At 34.7% G+C, this 15,005-nt stretch overlaps 1 protein-coding gene across 15 annotated transcripts in view; it reads right to left on the bottom strand.

The window, feature by feature from the left end:
- The window catches only part of RBMS3 (RNA binding motif single stranded interacting protein 3), a 729,325-nt gene that overhangs the window by 59,763 nt on the left and 654,557 nt on the right, over nucleotides 1–15,005 (bottom strand). For 9 of the 15 annotated variants that reach the window (XM_005265061.3, NM_001003793.3, NM_001003792.3 and 6 more), the window contains 2 exons: nucleotides 14,437–14,547; nucleotides 6,379–6,426 (listed from right to left, as the gene is read on the bottom strand). In XM_005265061.3, the coding sequence (XP_005265118.1) occupies nucleotides 6,379–6,426; nucleotides 14,437–14,547 (159 nt within the window). The remainder of the gene's footprint in view (nucleotides 1–6,378; nucleotides 6,427–14,436; nucleotides 14,548–15,005) is intronic. The other 6 variants (XM_017006180.2, XM_017006179.2, XM_017006181.2 and 3 more) reach the window with 1 other exon arrangement.

Genomic DNA, 15,005 nt, shown 5'->3' with positions numbered 1-15,005 from the left:
TAGAGAACTGTTAACATGTTTATTAGGCAGTATCTCTCCAGAATCAGATGTCTCTCGCATGCCTCTGGCAAGGGCTGAATCATACATAGTCAATTCCTGACTATATTCTCTGACAGGCGCCTCAAGTGCCCACTTTGTGCTGTTGATTTAAAAACGGAACCAAGTGATTTCAGTACCAGATGTGCTGATTCCTGCACACGCAATTAGCTTACTTTAAAGTCCATTGTTGTCTTGAAAGTGCTCTGCTGCGTATTATGTAGGCTCTGCCCTTTTGTAGATGACTGAGGCACTAAGTGATGCTGTGTGCTGCTGCTGCGGGATGCTTTAAGTCAGTTGCTGCCACTCACTGAAAAATTCTACTGCAGAAAGCATTTTGAGAGGCTGCCTTTTGATTTGATGTGTGTGCTGCATCACTAAGCGTCGTTTTTCTCTGTCCTTGCCACAGAGGGTAGTCATATCTCCAGCCATCCCAGGCTTACCCTGTGTAGTGTTCGGCTTTTAGACAAGACCAGGAAAGCTTTCCCTTATAATCGGATGGCAAAGCAGCACACAGTACTCAGGGAAGCAGTTACCCAGGGGGAAATAGAATAGCTAAAATACTGGCAGGTCAAGAGTAATATCAGTGGACACTAATCAACAATCACAACAGTAACAGAAACCGCTGCAGGTGGTGTGACAAAGATGTCAAATATATTTTACTACAAATCTTTTGGGATGATATATTTCTCATCTTTTCTCTAAATTTCTAAAAGTATAGGATTCTAAAGGCTGCCAAGAGGATAATAAACAGAATATATGTTTGATTTTCCTGGTTTTGATGATCCCCTGTTGCTGCTATAAGTCCTAAAAGACCAATATATAATGAAAATATTAAAAAAATATATAAAAAATAAAAATATTCTTAAAGGGTTTTAATATATCACTATTATAATCAATTATTCTGTACACACTAAAACACTAATACATGTTTTTCTCAACCTCCATCTCAATGTCTACCATCTCAGATTTTCTGATATTTCTGTCTTTTATGAAATAAAAAAGCTCAAAAATGCGAATTTTAAGGGAAGGTCACTTCAGATGTATTATAAAGAATATCAGTGACAGTATTTAGTTTGGAATACCTATAAAAATAAATTGATTAGAGAGAGCAGGGGTAGGCAAACTATAGCACACAGACCAAATTCTGCTTGCTGCCTATTTTTGCATATAAAGCTTTAATGAAATATAGCCATGCTCACTTATTTGCACGTGGCTTGTGTCTGCTTTCATGCTACAGTGGCAGAGTTGAATAGTTATGACACAGACTGTATGGCTTGCAAAGCCTAAAATATTTACTATCTGGAACTTTACAGGAAATGCTTGCTGGATTAGAAGATGAGGCATAGAATTTTACACCCACCTATCCCATCCTCTGAAAACAAAACAAAACAAAAACCAAAAAACAACCTGGGCTAAATAACAGTGATATTTATATACTAGTCCAATCTAGTTGCCTATTTTAATACATAAATAACAATTATGGTCCCATAGGAAAATTCTTAATGATTCAATTTTTATAATTTAGCGAACAAAATAAATGCACCAGCAGGAACACAATAACTCAGCATTCACATGCCTATTTTTGTCAAATACTTGCGCACATATCATGTACAGAGTCCTGCTCTGCAGACCACTCCTGTGATGTCTGTCATATACTATGTTACATGACATTTCTTTATAACCTTTTACTCTGTTAGAATCTTTGTTCTTTGGGGGCAAGAAATGGACCTACCCTTAGTTTTTTGTAGCACTGTAGGTACTCTGTAAATATTAGTTGAATAAATGAAGAATAAGTAAAGCAAAGTCTCTAAGAACTTATTACAAAGAAAAAATCAATTAACTCATGTAAAGAAAGATAGTTTTGTAGTCAACATAAATGCACGGTATTTGAGCCAAAAAATGAAACTGATTTTCACGTGTGGCTTGTGGGAACACATAACAATGTGTCAGGTCTTTTACAATAAAAACAATTTAATGGCTAATTGTTGCTAATTGGAGGTACTAATGAACTTAATTTTTAATTAAAAGATGGAAATTATTTGTAATTAGCTCATGGTATCTATGAAAACAAATGTTGCTTAGAGCTTGAAAGATGGTCTTGTTCTCCTTGTTCTTTGAAGCAGCTAAAATACTCTGCCTTTCCCTCCTCTGGATGATAGAGGATAGTTTCACACAGCAATTCTCACCTAAGATGCAGCATAAGAAATAGGCTTCAATTAAATCTTTGCTTGGACATCACAAATTCCAAATTAATGAGGCTTTCCAATGCAAACTTAGATTGCTGAAACAAAAACAATGTGAGAAAGTGCATGCTGTTTATAACAGTGAATTTTGTCTTAATTGCATCATGTACTCCAATGAAGAACTTTATTCGTAGAGCACAACTCCATGGTTAGAAATCAGACATTTAAAAATTTCTTATTGGACCAGTATATTGTGATTTATGCAAACTTTTTCTGTGAAATCTCATCATGAAGTTGTACTGATAACACTTATTATTTCAGCCTGTTTCAGCTGGTGCATAAAAGGTTAGAGCAAAGAATGAAAATATGCTCCACAAGTTCTACAGGTTCTTTTCAGTGTATTTTTCAGGCCCCGTTTTTCTTTTCTTTTTTAAAAAAAAATTTTTTTCAAACCTAGGTTCAAATTCTGAACTCAAAGCTTTTTAGAAAAAGAGGACAGATTTTGATTCTACTTTAGTTCTCTAGTGATAGTAGTCTTCTGCTTGATTTCATGCTGATGTCATTCAAGGAAATTAAGCTCAAAACAACTGAAATAAAAATTTGACTACAAATTATCTTCGGTTTTCATAGGTGTTTCATAAAACCCAACCATGTATAGAAAATGGCATTTTACTATGCCTTTACATATTTTTTCATTAACATTTGCTTAAGAGAGGAGGATTTTTAAAGGAGTTATAGTTGTTATGGAAAAGAAATACTAAAAGGAGAATAGATTCCTGCTTTGGTGTGAAAATGTAGAGGGCAGTTTCAGCCTTCTGTCTTCCCTCCTTGAAATGAGCTAGGTAAGGCCTAGCAGAGATGTAGGCAACAAGAGGTGACTCCAGGGAAATAAATCAGAGATGCTTTTGTTTCCCAAGCTTCCTTCTTTCTTTTGAACATCACCATTTCTGCTTTAACTCTTTCTTCCCAGATTATTATTATTTTTAAGACATATTCATTGTTGAAGCTTAAATATGTAACTCAGACTCTTCCTAAGTAAAATATTCTTGAGCCATGTATAATTTATTAATGGCAAAGAACGAAGAAAACAAAACTAAAATATGCAAGATACCCCCACTTCATTAGTCACTTTTTATGTTCACATTAATGAACTCCCTTAACTTCTGTCACTTTCACCTCAAGTCCACTGTGGCCACCTGCTCCCATGATTCAAACTTTGCCAAGAAATAGTTCATTATCCAAAATCTTAAATCCAAGTATTTTGCTAACTACATTGTAGTTAGTAAAATACATTGTAGTTAGTACATCTCATTGAAACTGCTAATCTGTATATTTTGTTTTCTATCTCTCATCCACCACTGCCTTCTTTTTTCTTCCTTCTTTATTCTTCCTTAAACCCACAGTTTGCCACTCAACTACTTTCTTGCCAATATCATAATTGCACACTATCCTTTTCCTCACTTCACCTAGTAAATATTAACCCTGCATTAATTTGCCTGTCTGCCTTCTTGGCTACTAATCATGACCGCAGAAAATCAAACATTCTCACAGATTAATCACACAAATACATAGTCCATAGCTTCAAATGAACCCCCACTACTACCCCTCAAAATTCTATGGATTGTTCATAGGCCTTCTCATGCCATAGTTTTCCAAATCTCTGTTCTTCTTAAATCCTTACTATGTGCCTTCTCTCACTCACTCTCAGAAGATGATGTCACTTAATATTACACAGAAAACCAAACAGTATTTGTCTTCCTGAGGATTTCAAATATTCTTTCTAGATTCTTGATTCTCTATACTTTATGCATTTCACATCACGACAACACAAATAAATGTTGCTATTAATGTTATAATGGTCTAATATTATACCATAATATTTTAATCAGGGGTCTATTTTCTGCTCATCTTTGTATCCCCAGTACTTTTGTGTAGTGTCTACCACTCAGAAGTTGTTCAATAAATGTTGAAATATTGATTGAATGAAATTAAGTTATGTATCTGTAAATTGTCAAGCAGATATCTCGACTACAATCAATTAAAACAATTTAGTTGGATTCTACACTGGCAAAGAGTTATTTGTTTTGTCCAATATTGACATATTGGAAGATTTGGGAAGGAGATATTACAATGCTATTGCCTGTTTCACTTTCCTGATGTGGCCAAGGATTGAGAAAAGCAGATTCAATTTCTCAAAAGTCATTGAAGTTGTCCTACCAGCCAATTAACAAGCATTTTGGAAAGGCAAGTCTATTTCTATTTAGACGTAGACCAAAGAAGTCTGTGAAACTTATGTCAAACTACCAATTAAATCTTACAAGGGGAAAATAACTGTGAAATCTCCCAAAATGTTATTTTTCATATTAACTCTATATTGGGTCCCTTCCTTCATACTCCACTGCTGGGAACCTAGGACTACTTTTTATTATAAATACAATATGTCATATCTAATCTTTTTAACTGTTCCATGTGATTTTTATGTCTTCTTGCTCAAGACCACACAAAACTTTCAGATTCAGTTTCTTAAAGCATTGCTTTTATCAAGTAATTTATCTGCTCTAGAACTTTCAGTGGCCCTGTGTATGCAATCAGGTGAGAACTCCTGAGCCTAGATTGTCAGCCAGATCTTCTGCCTCAATTGACTTACGTAGAGCCTGACCTATGACTGATATCTGATAAGTACTTTTAATGATTTGCTTGCTTTCTTCATTATGTTCTTGAAAGTAAAATCAGGAAACCCAGTTGAAGGTAAGTTCTAGTTTGTGTCTTTTATTTTTATGAATATTGGTAAATTACCAAGAGTAGATGTATCTTGTTAAACAAAAGTACCATGTATGAAATATAGTCTCTTCCCAGGGGCCCTAAATCCTAAATGAAATTGGCATGTTAAGATATGACAGGAAATACACTTTGGGAAAAACTAAGTGATATTTTCAGTAGTGGCAATTTATTGTAGAGACCTTAAAGAGGACCGAAATGACTTCGCGGCCAAATGCTAACGTATTCTTCCTCAATGGGACATTATTAATTGAACTTTAAAGATGAGTATTCAGCCAGGAACATAACTAAACAAGGCTATAAGAAATTAAAAAAGAATTACCCTTCAGATGCTGGGTCAAGCAAACGGGTGGCCAAAAGCAAGATTTCCCCTGCTTGAAAACCACCAGCAGGTTGACAGATTCAACTGCTCCATGGGGTCTTTGAGTCTATTTCTGACCTTTGTTTCTTCTTCTGTCTTTCTAATGCATGTTTCTCTTTGTATTTTATGACCTTGCTGTCTGACATGTCAAAGAATCAAAGAATTCCTCCTCTTCAGATTGCCAGTATTTTATTTAATTAAAAAATTAACTGAAATAAAAAATTGTGCCCATTTTTCTCTTTGCAATAAATCAAAATTCAAAATCAAAATGAAAGCACAAGAAGATCTGTGCAGTTCAAAATAAAAATCCACCTCTTTACATAGACATATCCTATTACAAACTGCACTACTAAATTTTATGAAACAACTGAAATATTGCTAGTTAAAACCCTCAAGACACTAACATATTTTCAAATCAACCTCTGCCACTTTTTTGTATAAATAGAATAATGGCAGCTTTTCTTTCAATATCCAAAAGAATCGTTTTGGGAACAAATTTGAAGTTTAGATTCATTCAACAAACAATTATATTGAGTACCTACTATGTGTCAGACCCTATGCAGGGTGCTGAGCAAGCAAATGGGATGATTTTCCAATTTAGAAGAATTCTGGTCTCTAAAGCAGTGCTTCTCAAACTATTTTTTATTAATCTGTGCCGTCTTTTGCTATACATAAAATTATTTTCCCACTTTTCAGGAATTTGATGACTGTGTCTAACACTGAGAATCACTGATACACAGAACACAGACTCTATCTTCTGTGTATCCTTGACAGATAAAATGGTTTTGAGTTTTTACTTTCTATTTAAAATGCAACACATTTATTTTCCAGATATATAACTGAATTATAATATTAAGTTTATGTTTCTGAACTACACATGCCCCCTTGCAAACTGGAATTCAAATTTCCTGCACCCACCTCTGTTGAGAATCACTGCTTTAAAGAGTTTGGGAAAAAACCAGGCAACCTCCATCTCTCCCCTCCAATCCAGTCTTAAAAGAATTAGAATTTTCCTACCTGACACAACAGCTGGTGGAGTATCATAATCCTGTCTTGGGATTGAATCTTTGAATGAAAAGAGCATGAGAAAGAATGCAATGAAGTACAAAAGAAAATAAAATAGAATCAGCCCTAACACGTGGAAGAGTCCGCTGTGTGTCATATGGTTGCCTGACCCACCCTGCCTTAGAGCAGTAAAGGCATTAGGATTCCTCATTTGCATTTGATACCATGGTCCCTATTACCACAATACTGTACATGTTATTAGGTCCCATTAGACTTGCTGGGACAGTACAGTTTTTCCTGAAACACTGTCATCTTCCACAGCCTGTTTGGTACCTCCCTTAGGGAATCAATATAAAATTTTTGCCCTCTCTGGCTGACAAAAGAGTTCTACAAGGCAGCCCATTTAGAGGGGGCCCAGAGCATGATACGAAACAAAGTCCTGGAGAACAAAAGAAAGAACTAAAATTTAAAAGAGAAAAATAAAAAATTTGTACATTCTCATATTCTATGGAGGCTAACACATTTTGAAGGCAAAATTTCATTATTTATTACTCAGCTCTAGCTCTGATCCCAGTGGTTGTCAGTGAGGCAGAGCGGAAGGTGCTTTCACCTCAAGGCCAAAAAGCTTTATGTGTTGTAACTGTGGGAGCAGAGATACACAGAACAGAATCTATTGAACGTGACGGTTATCTTTATCCCAAGTCTCCTAGCATTGAAGGTGTCAAATTCTAGATAAAGCTTAATTAAACTACATGGCAATCATTTCAAAATTAGGGGTTACATGGCACAAAATATATCTGATTTTTTAAAGATGAAAAAAGAGCTTTTGGCTCACTGCAATTTCTTTAGCCAGGGATCTTAAAAAGGAGATTGGAATATGGCATAGGCCTAGGGTCCCCTTCTAAAAATGGAAAATTCTAATTTTGTCCCCACTCCCCTTGGAGGGGTAAACTCTAAAAGAAACTTGATATTGTTTAGATTCAAATCAACTGCCAACACATGGTTAAATAGGTCCTCTTGTGTGACTCTTATTCCATTTATATGACCTTTATTAAAAGCAAAAATCCCAAATTTTCTTTTTCCACCCATGTGACAACTTTTGGACTATCACGTATTTCTCACTTTCATCTCCTTGCCACAAAAGGTCAATTTTAATCACTCTCTCCTGAGTAAATGGCATGTGAGAAGACAGATTAGAACTTGAACATTGCAAGGCACTTTGAGCAACAAAAGCAAACATGATCAAAAGATTCAAATGCAAATAAACCAGACACATGAGTTATTTTGTTTCTTGCAACAGATACCTGAACTACTGAGTTGATTATAATCCCCAAATCTAGAATAATTAGAATCATTTTAAAAGTTTTTCCAATTTTTTAAATAATAGTAGTAACTCCTAGTACCTTTTGAAAAATTGCAATCACACATTTCCACTCCAAACCAAAAAAAAAAAAAAAAGTTAATTATTGGACCATGCTACTAGACATTTTCCAAGAATATACTTATGACATTTTAAAATAAATAATAAAAGCCAATAATGTTTATTGCTGAATAGCTGGATAATGTAGAAAAGCATAATGATTAAAATAGACATTACTCCTAATCCCATCACCTGGAAATAGCCACACTTGTTTTATATTTCTCTTTAGCCTTATAATACTTCTTTAGAGTTGATACTGAACTCCACACATGCAAATTTACATCTTTCCTTCCTTTTTTCTTTCTCTTTCTCTCTCTTTCTCTTTCGACAGGGTTTCACTCCATCATTCAGGCTGAAGTGCAGTGGCACAATCATAGCTCACTGTAACCTCAAACTCCTGGGCTTAGTTGATCTTCCTGCTTCTGCCTCCTCAGTAGTTGGACTACAGGGCACACAATAATGTAATGCCTAGCTAATTTTCAATTTTTTTTATTGTGATGGGGTCTTGTTATGTTATCTAGGCTGGTCTCCAACTCCTGACCTCAAGCAATCCTCCTGCCTCAGCTTCCCAAAGTGCTGTGATAACAGGCATGAACCACTACAGCCTGCCTTACTTCCATTTTTTCAAATTTGACATTATAAATAAACTTTTTCCCAATTATTTCTCTTACGATTTCATGCTGCATTACATTCTGGTTTATGGATGGATTATGGCATATTTAATTATTCTTCTTTGTTAGACATTATAAAGAACACCGTGTCAAATATTTTTGAGGTATAATTATTTTTCTGTTATTTTAGAATATTTCCATAGACCAGCTTCTCAAAACTATAACTTCTTGGTCAGTCAGTATAAATGTTTTGAAGTATCTCGACTGACTACCTTGCTATCCAACTGGTACTTATACAAATTTAGATTCCTATCATCAAGCAATCAGTGCTAGAGAATGCTTATTTTCCTACACCTTCATTAGCAATTTGTACTGCATTTTGATAGCTTTATTTGATGGGATATATGTACATGTATATTTAATTACTGTTTCTGTTTCTTTCATTACAATTTTTGTACATGTTCCTTGGCATTCTATTTACTCTTTTATCAACTATCTGTTCATGTTCTTTGGCATTTTATCTATTGAGGCTTTTTTACTATGTCGGTAATTTATTTGAATTCAGAATTCATTTTTTTAAACAACAAAAGTGTAATATTTACAAATACACACTCGTACTACTAGACTTACACTTAATGCCAGCTCATTTATTGTTTATAAGACTCCCTTCAAAGGTCTTTCATTTTAAAGTAAGACTAAACCAATTTTTTTAAACTATTACCTTTTTAGATATATTTTCTGTTTTGTATTTGAGTGTTTTAATTAATATTTTTTCCTAAAAAACTATTTTAGATGTACCCATTACCATTTATGATACTGCTTCCTGAATCAGAGTCCATTTAACATCCTGTTAGCTTTTTAAAACTCTGTCTTAATATTTATATTCATACCTAATAACAGAAAAAAGAACAATGTCTAAACAAACTGAATAATTGAGGATTTTCACCTGATACTATCAAAATTTCAGAGCAGTGAAGGAGTGGTGTGACTGAAAAATGCTAGAGAACTGTGGGGACAAATGGAGTACAATTACAAGGTTATTTTTGTGAGTGACTATGGTTACACTGTGGAAATCGATGATATCACAAATCATCAGTGGCTTGGAGAACACAAACCAAACTGCAGATACAAAACCTGCAGAACAAAAACTTTTTATTTCTTCCAACAGATTCTGGTGACATTGTAAGCCACTGGTGACCAGCAACTGAACAAATGAAAAGGAGATAAGAAACTTGTAAAACAAGATTGTCATGCAACTTGGAGGTTCTCATAACACAGTAAAATCTCCAGTGGTTTCTGCTAAAGCTTACAATAAAGTGATAAGAAGTTATGGATAATGGGGCTTTGGTTCCATCAAGGGAATGCTGTGACAAAAAAATAAACAAAAGTAGAAAAGCTAGGAAAATCCTTCAGGGTCAGCAGACCCCTGAAATAAAACAGTTACACTGCTTGCATAAGATGCACTTTTTTTTTTTTTGAGGCCTGCAGATTCTGTCTAGCTTAAAATAGAGAATTGAACAATAAACATTTGAGGTGGCAAATTGTAGAGAAAGGTTAATTAAACTACATGGCATTCATTTCAAAATTTGAGGTCATGGGAGATGAATATATCTTCTTTCATGAAAAGGAAAAAGAGGTTTTGGCCCAATACAATTCCTTTAGCCAGGGACTTTAAAAGGAAGAGTGGGACTAAGCCAGTGTTCAAGATCCCCCTTCTAAAAATGGCAAATTCCAATATAGCTACAACTTCCGTCAGCCCTGATCACTTCCTACTCTAGATTATTCACTGGATAGCTCTCTGCTCTGCCCTTGGAACCCATCTGTTTCTAGAGTTTAGAATCCTATCTTAATCTTAATCTTGACTTGTCACTGTTCACACCTTGTTTTGCAGAATTTCTGTGGGCTCAGATGTCTGAAATCCTCTGAAATGTTTCAGTTAGGAGAGAGACGTCAGATAGTTTTAGATTGACTACCTGTGACAACAGGGTAGAGAATGGATTGGAGCAAATTGAAATTGAAAGCAGGAAGAACGGTTAGGAAACTATTACAGTTTATCAAATGAGTCCCAGGGCAGAGACTCCAGAAATGTAGAAGAAAGAATGTATTTGACCAATGTCTATGAGAGAAAATCAGTGGGACTTGAAAAGTAATTGTGTATGGTGGTGAGGGAGAAGGAAAGGGTCTTGATTGGGTCTTAGATGTATGGTTTGACTACAGGGAAAATGGTCATGTCATTAGCTTGCAGGGAAACAGGGAGCAGAAACACACAAGAGGAACAGGTTTCAGTTAGAAGAAAGTTCTGGAAAGCTCATGAGATTAGTTTGGGTCATGGTGACTTTGAGATGTCTGAGGGAGATTTCCATGGAGATATGTAGCAAGTAGTTGGATAAATGAGTCTGAAATTATTAGATGAGGTTAGTATTGGGGACTGAGATTTAGGAGTCAACGTGGAAGCCAGGGTTTAAAACCATGAGACTGAATGAGATTGCTTACGAAAATCATGTGGCATAAGTATGTTAAAAATGAAGCTCTGGCTTACCAATCTGTGCAGGAAGAGAAGAAGGAATGGCCAGAGAGGTCTGAGGAGAACCAGAAAAACCTTGGGCAGGAGTCACAAACTGGGAGTTCTTGGGACAAACTGGACCCAATATTTAAATATGGAGAAATTTCAAATCAAAATTCAAGAATTCAGCTTATCTTTAAAAGTTGGAAAGTGAGACCACCCTGGGTCTGTATGTCCATGTGGCAATAGCCATCACAACAGCTGTACTACCAATGGAATAGTGGCTGTCCTCTTCAGACAAGGCATCCATATTTCAGGCTGCCAAAGGCACCACCTCTCACTTCTATTTGCCCAAAACTCAGGCAGAGATAGTATTATTATTGCATGGAAAATACATCTTCTCTAAAATATAATCTCCAATGTCATATATGTTTATATAGTATGAGTATGTTTATGATATAGGCAAATATTTAAAAATTGATTATATATTTCCAAGGGTTTTTGTTTGAACTTGATCCACTTCATTCATTAATATGACTTGGCTGGACTCTACAGGCTTTTGAATTTGCTACCTTAAAAGAGAATGTTAGCAGCCAAAGAAATGGAGACGTTAAAGAAATTATTTATATCAAGTGAAATAGTGCAGGTAAGTGATTTATACCATGGATTTTACTGTGTGTTACATCACTTCTGGCTACCTAAACTAGACTCCCACCAGTTAGAAGCCACTGGAGGTGAAGGGTATGAGCAGCTCATTTGAGAAGCACATACTGGGTATCACACTGTATAAGATATGCTGCATATTGTCATTTCATTAACACTCACAACATCTCTGGGATGTAAGCATTATTTTTCCCACTTTGTAAAATGAGAAAGTTCTGAGAGGTTAAGTAACCTGCCTAAACATGCAGAGCTAATAAGGGAACAAAGTCAGGTTTTGAACTCAAGTTTAAAAACAAAGCCAACTGATCTTTCCATGATGCCAGGATTCCTTCCCCATCAATGAAAATGTTGGAAAGATGCAATAAGGTAGAAAAATCTGATTTTCCAAAATCAACCTCAACTGGATAATAGTCACTCCAAATGCCAATCAAAATTCAGATAAAATGAATCTATGAAGGCATATCGAAGAATTAGAGTGACAGTCTAAGAAAACAATATAACAATATTCTGGACACCAACCACACTTAATTATATTTTGTTAAACGAATCAACAAAGTAATTCTGTTTTCTCTCTACCTCTTCTAAACCTTACTAAATTTTACACTTTTCCATAACATCAGGTAATGCAAATCTTATAATGTATCTAAGCATTATTTAGAACAAATGTAAAGGGTGAAAAGAAAAAAGCTAGTGGAAATTTGGTATTAATAATAAATCATATGCTTAAAACTTTTACTCTCTAAGAAAGAGAATGTTATATATTATTACTGAATCATTTGGCTATCACCAGCTGCCTAAAAGTCATGGTCCCTTACAAATGTGTTCTTGTTGGAATGCTCAAATACAAAATCATAATATATGTTATTGAATCAATAACTATTTTAATTCTGAGTCTGTTCTGTGTCTTTTAGCTTATTTTTTTAATTCCCTAAAGGATTCAGTCATATGCTTAGTTAACTAGCTCTTATATTTCTACTAGTTTGCAAACTTAAATTTTAGCAAGTCAGTTGGCTTTACTTTTGAACCAAATGAGTAAAAATTTTAAAGAGTTTCTATGTTTTGCATTATAATTGTCTCTTTAATCAGATTCCAGATTGTTATTCAATACGGTAAAATTACATTACATCACTTATTCAGAATTTATGATCACTGAAGGACACGAAGGCTGATATGGAGGGAAATCTACAATATATTAATAAAAATAAGAAACTGCAGGCCTTCTGATACTATTCCTAGGACCTGCTTATTAGTAACGCACAAAATAATTACAAATAATTCTTTGATAAAAGCAATAAAATATTGTCTTCAAGCTCTATCTCCATGATGAAAATTAGCTGTACCACAGCATATAGTTAAATATATCTTAGACACGATTTCTAAAAGTGTAGGTGAGAAACCTAAGAGATCATTTGATCCAGCCCAAGCATTCAGACAGGTAAGTTACCATCGACTGCTTTTTACAGGTTCTGCAACTGAGATCTTAGTGATAGGCACTTTGTTTATGTTACTAAAACTAAAATTTCTTTATTGAAAGAATGTGGCTCTTTCCATTAAATTATATTGACTTTCTTCCTATTTAGGACAGATTAGTGAGTTCTCAGTGGACATGCCAGTAACTTCTTATATTCTTAAAAGCCCATGAGTCAACAAGATTTATTTGGCAAGCAAGCCATTGCTATAGGGTAAAATTCCTGATACACAACTAGTGTGCATATTGTACATAGATATTTGGAGAATGAGTCAGCATAATTGAAGAATCACAGAGGTGGTAACTGTAAGACATATAGGCTTAAAAATACAGAATTGAATATTCAAAGGGACCCATATATGATCAAGTTTAATACTTCAACTAGATAGAGAAAAAATTCAGACTAGAGATATTATTTTCCCAAAAATTGACAGAAACTACAGGGCTTACGCAAGTTTTATATCTAGGATTTCTGACTCCTAGTCCAGTGCTCTTTCTTCAATATTTAAGCTGCCTCAGTCAAAAGAAAACATATTTTTATTTCTATGTTTTGTTAAATGACAAGATTATCTGCACTAACATTTACGAAAATAAAACTGTTACTGAAGGTGTCACATGAGTGGTTAGGTTTCATGGTTTCATTGTTCTCTGTAATGGCAACTAATGAAGTTTCAGTATTCTAGATTGTATTAGGCTTTTGCCTCCTTGAACATTTGGGGAATTATCTTTTAAAAAAATCAAACAAAGTTTTTCTTATGATTTAAAATGCCTCATTGATACAAAATCCAGGCTGCAATAGGCATTTTTCAGCACACTTTTGTTCTCTGAGGAGAAAGATGACTAGTCAAAAATATCACAACCTATAAGAAAAAATCAAGCACATTAGGTTCCCTTCCTTCTTTTCAACATCATCCATATCAACATATCAGAAAGAAGGATTAAAAGAACTCGATTATACCTCAATTACTCTTTATTGATTTAATAGTATCAGTCATAGATCTGGCCCCTCAGTTGTGTATAACCTGCTAATAATATAGTAGCTGAGCTGGTAAGCAGCTGGGAAGAGAAAACCAGGATTGAGTATATTAAGTCAAAGGGTCTAGATTTGCAGGTGCATACAAAAAGGACACCTTTCCAAAAACAGACATTACATCTGGTACATTGTACCATAAAAAACAAGAAGTAACTGAATGACACAATAGAACTTTAGCCTTGCCACTGTGAGTACATGTGCCCTGGAACTGAACATACATGCAGAATGCAGCTTATTCATACTGAAACCTGAAAGATGTGTTAGTCAACGAATATGGTACAGACACAGTTTCACTGATAATGCCAGTAAAAATGGAGAATATCACATCTGATCAAAAAAGTTCAAGGAAACAAAACAATCTCTTCAACTCACCGTTCCTGTTGTGCCCAACGAAAGGTGATTCATCTGCTGTGTCAGTGGGCCCATCATGTTGGCTGGCTGCATTGACATGGGATGGTCCATGGTTGGTGTAATCACAGCACCCTACAAGCATATACAATGTCCATTTGAAAATATATCCTACAAGGAAGGAGACTTCTTACAAATAAACACTGTAAATTGTAAATGTGTGAACATCAAATGTTTTTACTTTTTTACTAAAAAGGCTAAATTCAACTGTATATAATTTTTATGTCCATTCATGTCATTTTGTGCTTGTCTGAATAGATGGCATTAACATCTTCCTTTCTTCTGAGGTAATTTACCTGTGATGTGTCTAAAATATGTCACTTACATTTTCATTTTTTGAGGTAGAATGTATTGAAAATCATCTATATCCTCTTGCCCACTGTTCTAAATATAAACTTCTCTGACTGAAACATATGAACATTAGTGGAAATTCTCTAATTTTCTTGTTATTTGATAAGACTTGGTTTATGTCATTTATCTATTACTTATTAATACATACATAATTCTTAGTCACCCCAATACAATCTACCACT

This window comes from Homo sapiens, chromosome 3 (assembly GCF_000001405.40).
Source record: "Homo sapiens chromosome 3, GRCh38.p14 Primary Assembly".
NCBI lineage: Eukaryota > Metazoa > Chordata > Mammalia > Primates > Hominidae > Homo > Homo sapiens.
The sequence above is the reverse complement of the archived record's forward strand: the minus strand, read 5'-3'. Positions and strand labels throughout refer to the sequence as shown.